Genomic DNA, 15,153 nt, shown 5'->3' on the forward strand with positions numbered 1-15,153 from the left:
CCTTTAAAATTTACTTTGTATTTAGTGTGGTGGAGATGGGGGAGGCAGAACATGGACTGCGGGGAGGGCATGTGAATGTGCAGAGAGGAGCACCCAACAGCCGACCAGTGCCCAGCCACAGACGCCACAAGGCACAGTCTCCATTCTCCTTGGAAGAAAGGCCTCCCCTACCCCTAGGAAGAACGGAGCCTGACACAGAGCTTGTGTTCGCCCATATCACACACACTTAGAATTCTGTTCTTGGGAACTCAGGCAGATCTCTGGGGAGCCGATGGGGGACTGTGAAATTAGGTTCACTTCTGGATTTCATTATAATAAAGCAGGCCCCTATCCCCAATTTTAGGCATCAACATAGAACAGCTAACTTTAAATTTTTCCAAGTGATAATATAAAACAAACGACTTTCAATTAAGTTAAATGTCAATATTTGTGAACCGAAAAGTACCTGTATCAGTTTAGAAATTTATGTTGCGAAGGTGAAGGACTCGCGCCCAGAAGACAGGTCTGTGCCTTTCTCCAAAGATGATTTTGAGGGCTTCAATATTTAAAGGGGAAAAGCAGGCTGGAGGGGGAAGATGGAAGGTATGTTCACATTATTGAAGCCACATGTTGCGATAAAGGGAGCAGGTAGGGCAACAGTTATGTATTTGGCGCTCAGTAAATCGGCACTTTACACAAGATAAGGTGAACATAGAGTGGAGATACTTCACCTTTAATCTGTAGCTATCTGCTTAGGAACAAAAGGAAAGGCAGTTGCATGACTCAGCTTTCAGTTTAATTTTTTTTCCTTTTGGCAGAGTGAATTTTCGTTTCACAATACCAAAAAAAAAAAAAAAAAAAAAGCGGGGGGAGGCTCAGAATAAGGAACAATCCTTTGGCTTGAGTATTTCATTTCATGAAAAACTAAATTGTTATTTCTTTTTTCCACAAGAACGATTAACAGAGCTGCAGACCAGTGTTTGGGGTCATCTGAGTGGAAATTGTCGAGCCGACTTTGGCTCATACGTTCCTTTTCTCGTTAAGGAGGGAGTGACGGGGCAAATCTGCGTGCTGCTGGTGGCGGTGCCTCCCAGGGCTGCTCGGCGGGGACGCCGAGGGCTGCACCCGAGCTCCATCCCGTGTTGGCTGCGCGCCCTCCAAAACCCCGGCTGTCAGCGACTGCGGGCACCTGCACGCCGACGAGACCGGCGGGCGGACAGCGACTCCGGTGAGGGTACTATCTCTCTACCCTCGGGGCGCGGGTGGCAGAGGCTTCCTGTTTTGAGGATGGCGCCACACAAAACAAGCATCCTTAGCCTGAAGGGCCCCGGCCGAAGGGCCGGAAGTGGAAGTGCGCGGCCTTGCCCGCCGCGTTTCCCCTCCTCGGAGTGCTTTTTGTGGACCCTGGGCAAGGGGCTCTTGCTACATAGAGAGGAGCAAAGAACAGGCATCGCCCGGTCCTTAAAGCGGCGGCACCCTCCACGCCCCGCAGTCGCGTCTGCTTGGTCCACAGCCTCCCCTCCCAGGCCCGCGCAGAGGCCCAGCAAGCACCAGTCTGGAGGCAACAAGCACGCAGGGGTGCCTTTGCGGCCACGCACACTGCATCGCAGTGAAAAAGGCTCCCGTTCTCAAGGCGCATGCGCGCAGGCCAGCAACTCCAAAGCCAGGCCTCCAGCCCCGGTTTGCTAGAGAGAAAGGTAGCCGGGAGGTGGGGAAAAGGAGAACAGGAGGGCCCTGTCCGCTAAGGTAGCCTCCCATTGGCTCCTCTTGCTCCGCTCTCGGTCGCGATTGGCTACGGGCCGGGAGCACGGGCCGAGCACGCTCCCACGCGCAGAGCGGCATTCGGCAGGCGGACGGCGGTGCAGCCAATGGGAGCGGCCCGCGGGGCGGGGCTTGTGAGCTGGGGCTCCCCCGGAGCGGGCGAGTTGGTAAACAGATCCGGAGCGCGTGGCGGGCGTCAGCGCGGTGGCCAGCGCGCAGAGGCGGGCGCGGAGGCGGCTAGAAGGTGACCGCGGATCCCAGCTTCCTGCAGCCAGGTAAGGCTGCCACCCGCCGGCCCGCCGCGTGCCCAGGCGCCGTCTGGCTGCGGCCAGAGCTGGGGTCAACACCCACCTCAGCCCTTCTTGCATTCTCTTCATGTGACAGCGCAGCTTCCCCGCGAGTTTCGCTGGCCGCGAGCCTCAGGTCCGGACGCAGTGGGGGCGCCTCAGTTGCAGGGTGGGTCCTCTGCAGCCGTCTCACGTCCCTGGGTCCACCTCAGCCCCTCGTTCCTGCTTCGGGGAGGAGACGAGGGCCACGTGCAGAGCCTTGGGTCCCTGGAACACGCCCGCTGCTTGCCCGACCGCCTTCCCGCTGCCGAATGCCCGTTGCCCATGCCCTTTGGTCGCCAATACAGCTTTGATGCTTCGCTTTCTAATAATGTTGTTCTTCACTCCCAGACCCCCTTGCACTGTGTGTCTGGGGCTCTAGGCTCGTTGCCGCTGGCTGCAGGTTTGGGTGAGAACTTTGACTTCCTTGGCTGGAGCCAGCTGTTGGGCTTCGCAGGTGGGAATTTTGTGTGAACTTGGGACAGGGGATCCTTTTTGATCCTTTCTTCCTTTCGCTTTTCTTTGGCCTTTCCTCTTCTCCAAACTCTGGGGGGTCTTGTGAGTGGTTTGGGCTTACTCCCCTAAACTCGAACCTTTCCGAGGCTCATTCTCACCCATTGCACAGAGGTAACAGCCCCTCTGCCAAACCCTCTTTGGGCGATGGGGAGTGCTGCAGGGGCAGGTTTGGGTGTTGGGACTCCCCATTTGGGTGAGAGATGTCAGGTTCCTGAAGGGTGAGAGGCTTGTGTGCAGTCTTCCAGCCTGAGTCGGGCCTACAGCCTGTTGAAAAACTTGTGCACGTTCACTTGGGCCTTGGATCTACGTGACAGGATTGAGTAGCTGGTCATGCCAGGCCTACCTGATTGCCAAAGGATTTGAACATTCCTTGATGCCAGCCTGCCAGTTGTCACGCTGTGGATGGGTAGGTCATCCTGGCAGGAGGGCTCTTGGGAGACTCTTCTTTTGGAGGAAGGCCTTTCTCCCGAGGAGAGACAAAAGGGGAGCTACAGGAGCAGCATCTGTAAGACTCAGGCGGCTGGGTGCGGTGGCTCACGCCTGTAATCCCAGCACTTTGGGAGTCCGAGGCGGGTGGATCACCGTAGGTCAGGAGTTCGAGACCAGCCTGGCCAAAATGGTGAAACCCCGTCTCTACCGAAAAAAAAAAAATACGAAAATTAGCCGGATGTGGTGGCGGGCGCCTATAATCCCAGCTACTCAGGAGGCTGAGGTGGGAGAATTGCTTGAACCTGGGAGGCAGAGGTTGCAGTGAGCCAAGATGGCGCCAGTGCACTCCCCTCTGGGCAACAGAGCGAGACTCAATCTCAAAAAAAAAAAAAAAAGGCTCAGGCAATGGCTTAGAGTGTTTTGTTCAGCCTTGCAAATGGTGCGGACTATGCAGAATCGTAATGATTTGGGGCCTAATGTTGAGCAACTCAAAGGAAAAGTGAACCAGGCAGAATGGGCACCTCCCTCAGAGCCAGTGTGTTATCTAAGACAAAGTTTTTCAACCTGTGGACTAATGACATTTTGGACCCATAATTCTTCGTTGTGGGAGACCTGGCCTATACATTGTAGGATGTGTAGCAGTATCCCTGGCTTCTGTCTACTAGACTAGCACCGCTCCCCACCCCTTCTAGCCGTTGTGACCATCAAAAGTGTTTCCAGACATTGCCACGTGTCCCCTGGAGGGCAAAATCTCCCTTGATTGAGAACCACTGAGGTAAAACTCTAAAAAGAGTTGTCCTGTGCTGCCAGGGGTCCCTCTGGGACCTGCCCGTGAGTAGGTGAGAGGTTTAGGCAAAGGGTAGTGTTATGCCTCCTGCCCTAACCCAGTGGTAAAAGCCATGTAGATTGGGCTACCTGTGCACCTAGGAGGGCAGAGGCAAAACCTGCAAGCAGAAAGTTAGGAGGTAGACACCCATGGGCATGTACTGTGCCTGCTAAATGTGTGGCAGTGACTGGCTGGGTTGGGGGTGCTGGAGAATTAGAAGACTGGTAGCTTCTCGGGGATACTGCAAGACTAGGGGATTTGCACATGAATAACTATGGGCCAGTTTTAAAATAGGAAACATGCTTAAGCTGAGTGCTGGCACAAAGGCTAACTCAGCTATCCACAAGTGGTTCTTCAAGGAGATGCTTTATTCATCCTCACTTTTTGCTCAGACAGCTCTGTGTCTTGTGATGTGGGAGGGGCTGGGCCTGCATCTTCAGGGAGTGAGTGGCTGGGTGCATTTCAAACATACGTATGTGTATTTTTACACAGCAGCGTGGACATGGGTATGATTTGTGGAGTTCTTTTGTAGTTGCTTGAAGCATCAGTGTCAAGGTCAGTGAACCTTTTCTTTTTCTTTTCTCCTTTGGTCAGCCTGCTCACCAAAGAGACATATTTACGTGTGTGTGGAGAAAGATGCTTTACTTCTGAGTCTAAATTTTGCCTTCAGTGTAATCCAGAATTTATGCCCCAAATTTCTAAGTCCCAAACTGATTGGCACGCAGAAAAACTGAAAAACAGGGATTTCTTGCACAGGGCAAGGAAAACCATCCTAAGCCTATTCAGTGAGTTTCTTTTTCTTGCTGTTTTGATCCTGTGGGGATGTATCAGGATTTTCCTGTAACACTCCTTGGTCAGTTAGGGGATCTTTTGGGTGCCCTTTGTTGCCTGTAGAAAAGGATCAGGAAGGAAGGTCACTTCTCCTTTCTCAAAGAGAATTTTAAAGAAGGCTATTATTGGGAAGCTCAAAACTTGGCAGGATAATTTTCCAGTAAGAACCATGGACACTGAGTCATTATCTTTGTCCGTTGAAACAAGAGCTGTGTGCAAAATTAGACAGGAATATTTAGACAGAGAGTTGTCTTGATTTGACAGTGGCATCTGGAGATACTTCTGTCATTCCTGTTAAGCAACAGCCAGGAACTCGGGAGAGCCAGTGGAAAGGAGAGCTGGTGGGAGTGAGTGAGTTCGAGGGTCCTGCTCTTTCTGGAGTTGCACATATGGAGGGGTGGGAGCCCCACGGAGGTGGTTTGTGAGAAGTGAGGATGGCCCGAGTCCCCAAGGGGAGATAGAACTGAAGGCATGGATTCAAAGAAATTTATGCAGGTGGAATTTCTAGACTGACTACCTGACTGGATATATGGCTGAGATTTCTAATCAGGGGGAGGAGCTGGTTGATGGAGGAAGAGCTGGTTTGGGAGAAGGTGGTCATCTTAGTTTTAGACATGATGGGAGCCTATGGGACTTCTTTCCATCCTGTTTGATATAATTTGCATACGGTAAATTCATCCTTCTTAGTGTGCAGTTCTGCGCAGTTTGACAAACGCACATAGTCACATAACCCCTACCACAATCAAGCTATAGAACAATTTCATCACCCTCCGAAATTTCCCTGCACCCCTTTCCAGTTGCCTGTGGGTCTTTGAAGTGGTGATGCGGTATGTGTGTGTGTAACTTGGTTTGTTCTGGAAATGGGTTCGGTTGTTGAGAGGTCCTGCCTGGCCTGAGTGTGGGGAGGCATCAGTGCAGAGCCTGTGGAGGGGCTCTGGCACCCCAGGAGCCAGTGCAGATGGCAGGGAGGCAGGGGTGTCGAGGACCAGCCTGGGAACTCCCAGGCCTTGGAGTAGGTGGAGAAAGAGGAGCTGGGGGAGGAAGCTGAGGAGGTGAGGCCAGAGAGGAGGGAGGAGGGAGGGCTTCTGGGAAGAGTGTGGGGCCAGCAGGGAACACTGTGGGGCAGGGGGTGGCTGAGGAGACCCACTGGCTTGAGCCCTCAGGTGTCACAGAGGGGCAGCTTGGGGTTGGGGCCAGAAAGTGTGTGCCGAGGGAGCAGGGAAGATGGCAAGTGCACTCCATCCTTGGGAGATGGTAGCCATGTCCAGAGGGTGGAGGAGAAGCAGAGCCTATGGGAGGTTTATTTAAATGTTTGGTACAGGAGAGCAGAGAGTGGGCTTGTGGGCTTCAGGGGAGGGCTTTTATGATTGAAGGCAAAAGAAAAAAATAGGTCAGGGGCAAGGTCTTGTTGCGGGAAGGAGGAGGGATGGTCAGTGTGGGAGGAGATTGGACAGAGGCAGGGGAAGGGTCTGAGAGATGTGGCCAAGAATGTGCGGGCCCTCCTATCTGGTTGCCCCCATTTCTGGAGTAACAAAGGTCCGCTAAAGAGGGGTCGAGGCCTTCTGTTTAATGTGAGAGGGCCAGGGGTGGGGGCTTGAAGAGCCTTAGGTGCCTCAGCATCCTTTGAGGAGTTGTACCCTGAGAGAGAGAGAGAGAGAGAGAGAGAGAGAGAGAGAGAGAGAGAGAGAGAGAGAGAGTGAGAGAGAGAGAGTGAGAGAGAGAGAGTGAGAGAGAGAGAGTGTGTGTGTATGTGTAGAAGGGAGGCAGGAAGGTAGGTGTTTCCGGGTCATTTGGAAAAGCCCAGTCCCTTATCTCTCCCTACCTCTGCACCGTCCACTGGAATTTTCCATTTCCCAGAGGTGTGTTTCCTGAGAGACAGAGAGGCTGTAGCGCCCCTCTCTGCCTTTCTGAAGACAGCAGGGTTGGTCTGCCTCTTACCTCTCACTATTTCATAGAATCTCTAGAAGGATCAGTATCTGCGTTGTTTTGAGCATTACTCTTTCTAGACCCCGTTACATCCCAGCTTTCAGAACAGCCCTGTGTGTGCTCTCCTTGCTGACTTTCTGCACTCCAGGGATGCATGGCCCTTTCCTAATCTCTGGGAACTAGACCTCCTCCAGGTCAGTCGCCTCACTTACACATGAGGAAATGAGAAAACGCAGGCCCCAAGAGGAGAAGCGGTGTGCCTGAGGTCACCCGCGCTTGGTGGCCTTGCTGTTGGTCCTCCCCGTCGGCCCTCATCACAATATATGCGGTGTCATCTGGGAACTGGAGGACCTGGTGGCAAGTCCCTGCTGTTCACGGGGCTGGATGAGGGGTCCTGGGGACAGTCCACATGAAAAGAAATGTTAAAGTTCAAGCTCAGAGCCTGGGCCCCAGCCCAGTGTTTGTTCTGTGCTTGGCACATTTTTTGTTTGGCACTGATACTGGCTCAGAGGAGGGTAAAAGTAAGAGTCGATTGCCCGGTAAGCTGAAGGTGGTTACTGTTTGACACGTGCTTGAGCAAACATCTCTAATCTTCCCGAGATTGAAAAAATCCTGTGGCTCTTGCTCCCTAAGGTGTTTACAGCCAGCATGTGGTCAAGGGTTGGACATTGTGCTGCCGCGATGCCTGTTGTAGCTGCTGTTTACACCTGCTTGGTGCTCACGGTTCATGGGCCAGGGCTGATTGGCCTGCTGAGGAACAGCTGCCTGCTGGCTTCAGCCCCTCCTCTTTTCCCTCAGTCTTAGACAGGGACGGGGGTGACGCAGAGGAAGCAGTAGCAGTGACTGCGTCCCCTGCTCCCTCCCTGGGTCTGTGTGCCCACCATGAGCGGGATTATGAAGCTGGCTTGGAAACTCATCTGGCTTTTGCTCCTGTAAAAATCACTTTTTGAACAGGGTGCTGCTGCCATTTCTGTGGCTGTGCATGTTGGGGATTCAGGTTCCCCTGGTGCTCAGCCTCCTCGGTGGTCTCTTCAGTCCTGGGCTCTCGATGAGGGAGCTCAGGAAGCCACGGAGCCTGGGTGCCTGGGTCCTGCCTCACTGACTCATAATGCTAATAAACTCGTGTGTATGAGGACAGTGCCAGACCCCGTTGGGGGTACAGAACTGGGAAAGAGAGGGCCCCTCCCTCCGGAGCTTACCTTGCAGTAAGGGAAATGGGACAGGCACACACAGAGTCATACAGGGCATGGCGAGGTGACCTTAGGCCATTAAGAGATGAGGGAGTTTAGAGGAAAGGAGATGACTTGCCTATGGAGGGGTTTACCAGTCCAGCAGGGTGGCCAAGATTCCAGCAGGGGAAATGATATTCCATGGGGAGGAGGGAGCAGGATGTGGAAGCTGGAAAACCTGTGTGGGTGTTGGGCGGGGCCGGGGGTCCATTCTGGCTGAAGCGTTGGGGCACGGAGGCATCTAGCGAGAGGTATCGCTGCAGAGGTGTCTGGGGCTCCACAGTGAAGGGCCTTGCTGGCCAGGCCAGACCAGGGAGAGTGGAGATCAGCAAGGAGATGGCCACCTCTCCTGGGTCTGTGGTCCCCTTGCACCCTGCTGAGCCTCTTCTCATTTCTCGTTGCGTGTGTGGTTGTTGTCTGTCTAGGATTGCCCCTTGTCTGGGTTAACTGGGTGATTTTAAAAGCTATCGAGGTTTTACATACACATGTAGTGCCTAAGGGTTGTGTGTGACCTCAGGGCAGAACATGTTTATTTAACTTCCATACCAGTGATGTGTGCATGTCCACACCTGGCCTGTGTGTGGCATTTGGAGGTGATGCTAATAAAGGTTGGTGCTGGTGTTGAGTGTGGCAAGACTGAGGGCCGTGTGCCCGATGGCTCCTCCTAGCTCTTGCACACCCAGAGGCAGTCTTCAGTGTAGGGCGTCTGCCTCTTTCCACTATTTATGTTTAAGATCAAACTGGCTCTGGAACCAAGCTTTGCCTCTAGTGGGTAGGATCACTGGTGCTGAGAATTGTGATACCCTCAGTCCTGGCAGCTGACAAACTTTCCAGAGCAGGGAGTTTGGCCAGATGGCCTTTGAGAGCCCAGCTGGCCCCAGAATTTTTATGACTCAATTTTCTGTAACCAGGAAGACACATTTCAGGATGTAAACCTTGCTGATGTCTCATATTGAGTGACTATTGATTTAACAAAAAAGGAGTTATTGATTTGGGGCAGTGTTCTTCTCTGCTATCTCTCAGCTTCCTAGGCAGTAAGAAGAAAGGACTGGAGCCTGAGTCAGACAGGTGTGGAAGGGTCCAGCATCCCACAGCTTTGGCCCTTAGGAGATTGCTCAGCCTTGATGAGCTTTAATTATCCTATCAATGAGTGGGGATAATACCTCACCAGGTCTTTGTAAGAACTAGAGGTAATATAAAGTGACAGGCAGACAGAGGGGAATAATAAATGGTAGCTGTTCTTGTTATTATTCCTATTTCATTGAGATATTAAACCTGAAGTAAAAGTGTTTTGAAAGATTAAGAATATAAAACCGAGGCCAGGCACGGTGACTCACACCTATAATCCCAGCACTTTGGGAGGCCGAGGTGGGCAGATCACTTGAGGTCGGGGGTTCGAGACCAGCCTGAGCAACATGGTGAAACCCTGTCTCTACTAAAAATACAAACAAATTAGCCAGGTGTGGTGGTACCCACCTGTAGTCCTAGCTACTCAGGATAATCACCTGTGCCTGGGGAGGTTGAGGCTGCAGTGAGCTGTGATCATGCCACTGAATTCCAACCTAGGCAACAGTAAGACCCTGTCTCAAAAAAATATATATATATATATATCTATCTGCCTGGCATGTAGTATGGGCCCAATATAGAGAAAGTCAACAGGACTCCGTCATTAAGAACAGGAATGCACTGAGCTGTCTGTGGGGTAGTCTACCACCCAGCTTGGTGCCTCGCACTTGGTTGGCATTCAGTAGTATTTGTGGAGTGACCAAAGTTAATTTAGAAGAATGGTCTGGAAATTATTCTAGAATACAGCCCCTCTCCCCAACCCAAGGATCTGCTTTAATTTCCTATGGCTGTTGTGATAAATTACCACAAAGTTTGTGGCTCAAAGCATCATAAATGTATGATCTTACAGTTCTGGAGGTTAGAAGTCTGAAATTGGTCTCACTAGGCTAGAATCAAGGTATCAGCTGGGCTGGTTCATTTCTGGAGGCTCAAGGGCAGGACCCGACCCCTTGCCTTTTCCAGCCTAGAGGCTGCCTGCATTCCTTGGCTTGTGGCCTCTTCCTCACAATGGCATCACTCCAGCCTCACTTCTGTCTCCCATCACCTCGTTCTGACTCTGCCCTGCCTGCCTCCCTCTTATATGGGCCCTTGTGATTACATTGGGCCCACCTGGATAATCCCCCATCTCAGGATCCCTGACTTCATCATATCTGCAAAGTCCCATTTGCAGGTAACATTCACAGGTTCTGGGGATTGTGGTATGGGTATCTTTGAGACACCATTATTCAGCCTACCACAGCCACCCACAGTATTTTGGCCAGATTTAAAGACAACCCTGTAAGCGTCTGAAAGAAACGTTGAAAGAAACCCTTCAACCTCAACTTTAGGATCCTTAATTACCTTCCTGGGTGGCAGTGGTTCGTGAATTCAGTCAACGCTTGCGCTTGTAATTTGTGTGGGTGGATCACTCTGTGTGTGTGGGTGGAGTGGGAAGAGTCAGAGTTGTCTGAGACAAGAGCCTCCCACAAGGAGCTTATAGTTTGAAGAGAAGAGAGGTCCATGTGCAAGAAGAAGAGTAACTTACAATGTAGGAATCTGACCAGCAAGTTAGATCAGCTGTCAGGAGAACGTAAATATGGAAGAGCTGGGAATCAAGGGCCTGAATAGGAATACGTTCTTGAATTTATATGGTGCTTTAACACATTTCAAAGTATATCCACCCACCCCTCCATTTATATTGGACAATATAATAACTTATACCATCATTTCGAGGAGAGGAAACAGGTCAGAGATGGTTCGAGAATATGCCTGGAGCAGCCCAGCTGGTCAGGGCAGAGCTGATTCCCAGCCCCAAGGCCCCAAGGCCCTCACCCTTGGCTAATGGGTGGGTTTTCAGACGTACAGAGATGAAGGGGCGAGCGGGCCTGCCTGAGAAAGTAGGACCTGCAGAGTGGAGTGCGCTCACATGGCTCGCGCGTAGCTGGAGGCTGGAAAGGAGGCCGGGGGCCTGATTTCGATGCCTGGGACTTCAGGCGCAGGAGTTTGGGTTTTATATATATGTCTACATACATGTCTACAGGTAGAGGAGCCATTTGAGCAACGCGTTGGCATGATGAACGTGGGTTTTTTTATAGGGAGAGGAATCTGGCAGGAGAGTGTTCCATGGCTCGGAGCTGGGGAGCTTGTGGGAGTTAGAGGGGTTTTCTTCCCAACTGCCTCTCCCTGAATGTACCTGGACAAAAGCCTCCCATGCTGTTTTCTCCTTTAAGGTGAAGTGGTAAGGAATACCAGTGGACATTTGTGTCCCTGGTTTCGAAGCAGGCTGCCAGCACTTTGGACTGCCTCTCCTGAATGATGCCTCATACCACAGCACTAAATAAACCACACTGGTCCTCCCCAGCCCAGCCTTCCTCCCAACTCAGGTATGAGACTGTGCCTGGCAGGAACAACTGCGGGTTATCCAGACTGATCCCATTCACCCTAACCGTTGGTCTCACCAAGTCTGAACTTCATTCCAGAATGTCTGTGTGCTTGCAATACTACTACTAATAATAATGGCATTAGCTAATGGTTTTTAAGCACCTACTATATGTCCTGAATGCTGTTACATGGATTTATCCAGTCCTTTCAAGAACAGATGAGGAAACTGAGGCACAAAGATAAGCTCACATGACTTGATTTAGGTCACACTAGCAAGTCAGTGGCAGAGTCATGATGTGAACCCAGATCACCTAACCTCAGAGCATCTTAACCATGTCACCAGTATCACTTCCTGAGCCAAATATTTTAATTTAAATGTTTTAAGCAGTAAACTTCACTAGGTTTTTAGTCAGAAAACTAAATTGCCATCAGGACCTTGCGCTTGGCTGGTTGGCCTTTAAAAGCCTTGTGTGTCATCGGCTATATCAACTCACAGAGTGGGAGAGGCTGCTTGGGACCCTCTGTTGCCTGCCTGTGGTTGGAGCTCTGAGCCCATGCAGGTTCGCTCACAGTGTTGGGTCCTTCTCTGGACTATCATCAGAGGCTGGAACTTTGCCTTCTGCTGCTTTTATATCACCCCCAACCCTGCCCAGCTCCCAACCCAGTGCTCACCACAGGGCAACTCACCCAGGGAATCCTAAGAATATCTTAATCTTCCAATGGATGGAGAATGGAGGTTTGCAGCCTGGGACATCAAAAACACACTGTTTTGCTCTTTTTCTCCTCTTACCTGTTAAACAGGTTGCCTAGCTCCTGAGCCATGATGGATCCAGGTCCCAGCTTTACTTCTTAAAAGCTGTGTGACTTCGGGCAAATTACTTAACCACTCTGTGCCTTAGCACCCTCATCTGTAAAATGGGCATAATTTACCTTTTGAAAATGATTGAGTTAATACATCTTTGTGCTAAGTAGAACACTGAGCCCAGAGCCTGGCATATACTAAACCCAGCAAAAGCAGCTGTAGTTATCATTGGCATGGTGGGCTGGTTCTGCTGCTCACAAAATGAAAACATCTGTGAAACTGGTTTCATTCATGGGGGAGAATGTCAGTGCCTAGTTGCTTGCTTTTTTTTTTAAGAAAAAATTAGCAGTATGGGATTCAGTGCCTGCTTTCAACAAGCTCTTGTTTATGTTATTAGCACAAGAATGTATAATTTTTAAACAGTTCAAAGAAAAACCCCAGTAGTCTGGGAGCAACTTTCAAGGGAACTTGAAGTCCTTAGCCTAGAAGGCAAGTTGAGCCCTGGAAACTCCCTTTCTTACAAGGCATGACCCACTGGGACATCCAGAGGCTGTGGGTACAGACCTGTGTGAGGGCCATGGTGAGCTCAGACCTCTCTGCCGGGGCAGACAGGCCAGCGTATGTGGCTCACCAGGAGGCCACCAACGCCCTGCAGTCAGAAGGGACTCTATGTGGGGCATGGGGTGGAGGCAGCAGCGTGCGTCCCTGTCTGCCTCTGTGTCTCCCCTGACCACCCCCTGACCCCACACCCACGTCAGTGCTTGCCTTGCAAGGGGGTTCTTGTAAAGGAGGCTGAGAAAGTGGAGGGATGAAGGAATGATTAGATGGTGGATGATTTTATATCAGCCCAAGCCCAAGCCGTGGACCAACAACGTGGAGGGGAATGCGGGTGTCTGCAGTTAGGCTGTGAGCCTCCTGAAGCGACAGGAGGAGGGAGGAGAGCTGTACAGAAAGTTGGCATTGGACAACCCCTCCCAGCCCCCCAGGCCTGTCCCTTCATGAGCAGTACTTAGGGGCCACCCTGGCCTGGATAATACAGTACCAGGTGGCTTGCCTTTCTCTGGCTTCACCTGGGGGCCTGTGGGTGTTGGGCAGCTCTGTGTCTGGCGAGGTGAGCCCATTTCTCAGGGTCAGGAGCAGAACTATAATGGGGGGGTCCTTGCCCCAACACGAGCCTTATTGGGGTGTTCTCATTCAACTCTGGTGACCTTCCAAATTTCCTGGGACAGCTGTGGTTTTTACTCTTGCCCTAGAATATGAGTCGACAAATAGTAAATATTTTGGGCTTTATGGGTCATAGATCTTTCTTGCAACTGCTGAACTTTGCTGTTGTAGCCAAAAAAGAAAAAAAAAAGAAAGCAGCTAGGGACAATACATATGTAAACGAATGAGCTATACGTAATCTATAAATGGGTGAGCAGGCTGTGTTCCAATAAAACTTTATTGACAAAAAAGCAAGCAGTAGGACTGGATTTGGCTTGAGGACCATGGTTTGCTAACCCCTGCCCTGGAAGGACACTAATTATGTGTCTTAATTTTTGTTGCAAAAGATGTGGTCACTGCACCTACTACCCAGTTCTAAACTAGGATCCTGTTTTTTTGAGGATCGGGGGTAAGCACCCTTTCATTATTTCCGTCTTTTAACCCAGAGGCCAACATTAGGGAAGGCAGGCAGACCCGCTGCTTGTTCCAAGTGATTTTTTTCCCCACTGTCCCGAGAAGGGCAGTTGAGCCTCTCTCTCCAAATTGGAGGTGCCACTTTCCATCCGCCTGGTGGCCTGTTAGGAGCAGTTGTCTTCTGATGAAGGACAGTGGCTAAACAAGGAGAGGCAATGTTTATGCCATTCCAATCTGCTGCCTAACCCTTGCCCGTTCTGCTATGGACAAGCACTTAGGGGATGGGGAATACATTTGTGTGCTTGCTTACTTTTTAAAATTTTAATAAAAGATATTTAAGATTATTTTTATTTTATTTATCTTTTATTTTATTTTTTTTGAGACAGGTCTTCTTGCTCTGTTACCCAGGCTGGAGTGCAGTCGTGTGATCATAGCTCACTGCAGCCTCAAATCCCTGGGCTCAAGCGATCCTCCCACCTCAGCCTTCTGAGTAGCTGGGACTACAGGTGCAGCACCACGCCTGGCTAATTTTTTTGTTTGTAGAGATGGGGATGTCCCTGTGTTTCCCGGGTTGGTCTTAAACTCCTGGCTTCAAGCAATCTTCCCACCTTGGCCTTCCAAAGTGCTGGGATTACAGGCGTGTGCCGCTTCACCCAACCTGATATTATTTTTATAACATTTATTTTCTATTGTAAAAGTAGTTCATGTTCTTTGTAGAATATTTTAGAAAATATAGATACAGGTACAAAGGCTGTATCTATATACAAATCTTTCTATAAAGAAAGATTTGTCTTCCCACCACTGCATGAAAAGCAACGTTCCTGTTTTTGCTTCCTGTCACCTCCCTCCCTTTCTTCTCTCCTTTCCTGCTCCAAAAGGAAAGATGATAGTTTTGTGACCTGCTTTTTATTTCCCGGGAATATATAATAATACACTTTCTTATTTGTCAGTAAACACCTTTCACAGTGTTATTTTATTTTATTTATTTATTTTTTGAGATGGAGTCTGGCTCTGTCTCCCAGGCTGGAGTGCAGTGGCATGATCTTGGCTCACTGCAGCTTCCGCCTCCTGGTTTCAAGCCATCCTCCTGCTTCAGCCTCCCGAGTAGCTGGGATTACAGGCGCATGCCACCACGCTTGGATAACTTTCGTATTTTTAGTAGAGATGGGGTTTCACCATGTTGGTTAGGCTGGTCTTGAACTCCTGACTTCGTGATCCACCAGCCTTGGCCTCCCAAGGTGCTGGGATTACAGGCATGAGCCACTGTGCCTGGCCCACAGTGTCATTTTCAATGACTATGTGGAATGCCCTCCTATGACTATTCCACCGTTTAGCTAACTAATCTTAGGCAAGGTTGTGATGTTTACATTCTTGTAGTGAATGTTCACATCTGTTTTTAGGGAGATGTAATTTGACAGGTTTTGCCAGGCAGGGCCTGAGGAGAAGGGGAGAGGGGACTTCCTGGAAGATGTGCTCTTTGGGGCC

At 50.5% G+C, this 15,153-nt stretch overlaps 1 protein-coding gene across 10 annotated transcripts in view, besides 7 other annotated features; it reads left to right on the top strand.

The window, feature by feature from the left end:
- Positions 580-1,271: an enhancer, noted in NCBI's record as "H3K27ac-H3K4me1 hESC enhancer chr1:227126665-227127356 (GRCh37/hg19 assembly coordinates)". NCBI's record gives its function as "activates a minimal SCP1, AML or CMV promoter by ChIP-STARR-seq in primed H9 embryonic stem cells {active_cell/tissue: H9 hESC(primed)}" and the evidence as "EXISTENCE:reporter gene assay evidence [ECO:0000049][PMID:30033119]".
- Positions 580-1,345: a biological region, named in NCBI's record as "H3K27ac-H3K4me1 hESC enhancer GRCh37_chr1:227126665-227127356".
- Positions 1,006-1,055: an enhancer, noted in NCBI's record as "active region_2674". NCBI's record gives its function as "activates an Ori minimal core promoter by ATAC-STARR-seq in GM12878 lymphoblastoid cells {active_cell/tissue: GM12878}" and the evidence as "EXISTENCE:reporter gene assay evidence [ECO:0000049][PMID:35858748]".
- Positions 1,246-1,345: an enhancer, noted in NCBI's record as "active region_2675". NCBI's record gives its function as "activates an Ori minimal core promoter by ATAC-STARR-seq in GM12878 lymphoblastoid cells {active_cell/tissue: GM12878}" and the evidence as "EXISTENCE:reporter gene assay evidence [ECO:0000049][PMID:35858748]".
- Positions 1,616-1,925: a silencer, noted in NCBI's record as "silent region_1895". NCBI's record gives its function as "represses an Ori minimal core promoter by ATAC-STARR-seq in GM12878 lymphoblastoid cells {active_cell/tissue: GM12878}" and the evidence as "EXISTENCE:reporter gene assay evidence [ECO:0000049][PMID:35858748]".
- COQ8A (coenzyme Q8A) overlaps positions 1,910-15,153 on the top strand; it is a 47,251-nt gene continuing 34,007 nt past the window's right edge. The window contains exons 1-3 of one of the 10 annotated variants that reach the window (XM_047425732.1): positions 1,910-2,015; positions 2,097-2,196; positions 2,418-2,523. The gene's annotated coding sequence lies outside the window, so the exon portion shown is untranslated. Of the gene's footprint in view, positions 2,016-2,096; positions 2,524-4,930; positions 5,020-11,098; positions 11,252-15,153 lie in introns of those variants that run through there. The other 9 variants (XM_011544239.3, XM_047425745.1, XM_024448517.2 and 6 more) reach the window with 9 other exon arrangements.
- Positions 1,976-2,135: a silencer, noted in NCBI's record as "silent region_1896". NCBI's record gives its function as "represses an Ori minimal core promoter by ATAC-STARR-seq in GM12878 lymphoblastoid cells {active_cell/tissue: GM12878}" and the evidence as "EXISTENCE:reporter gene assay evidence [ECO:0000049][PMID:35858748]".
- Positions 12,884-13,383: an enhancer, noted in NCBI's record as "H3K4me1 hESC enhancer chr1:227138969-227139468 (GRCh37/hg19 assembly coordinates)". NCBI's record gives its function as "activates a minimal SCP1, AML or CMV promoter by ChIP-STARR-seq in naive H9 embryonic stem cells {active_cell/tissue: H9 hESC(naive)}" and the evidence as "EXISTENCE:reporter gene assay evidence [ECO:0000049][PMID:30033119]".

Source organism: Homo sapiens, chromosome 1, assembly GCF_000001405.40.
Source record: "Homo sapiens chromosome 1, GRCh38.p14 Primary Assembly".
NCBI lineage: Eukaryota > Metazoa > Chordata > Mammalia > Primates > Hominidae > Homo > Homo sapiens.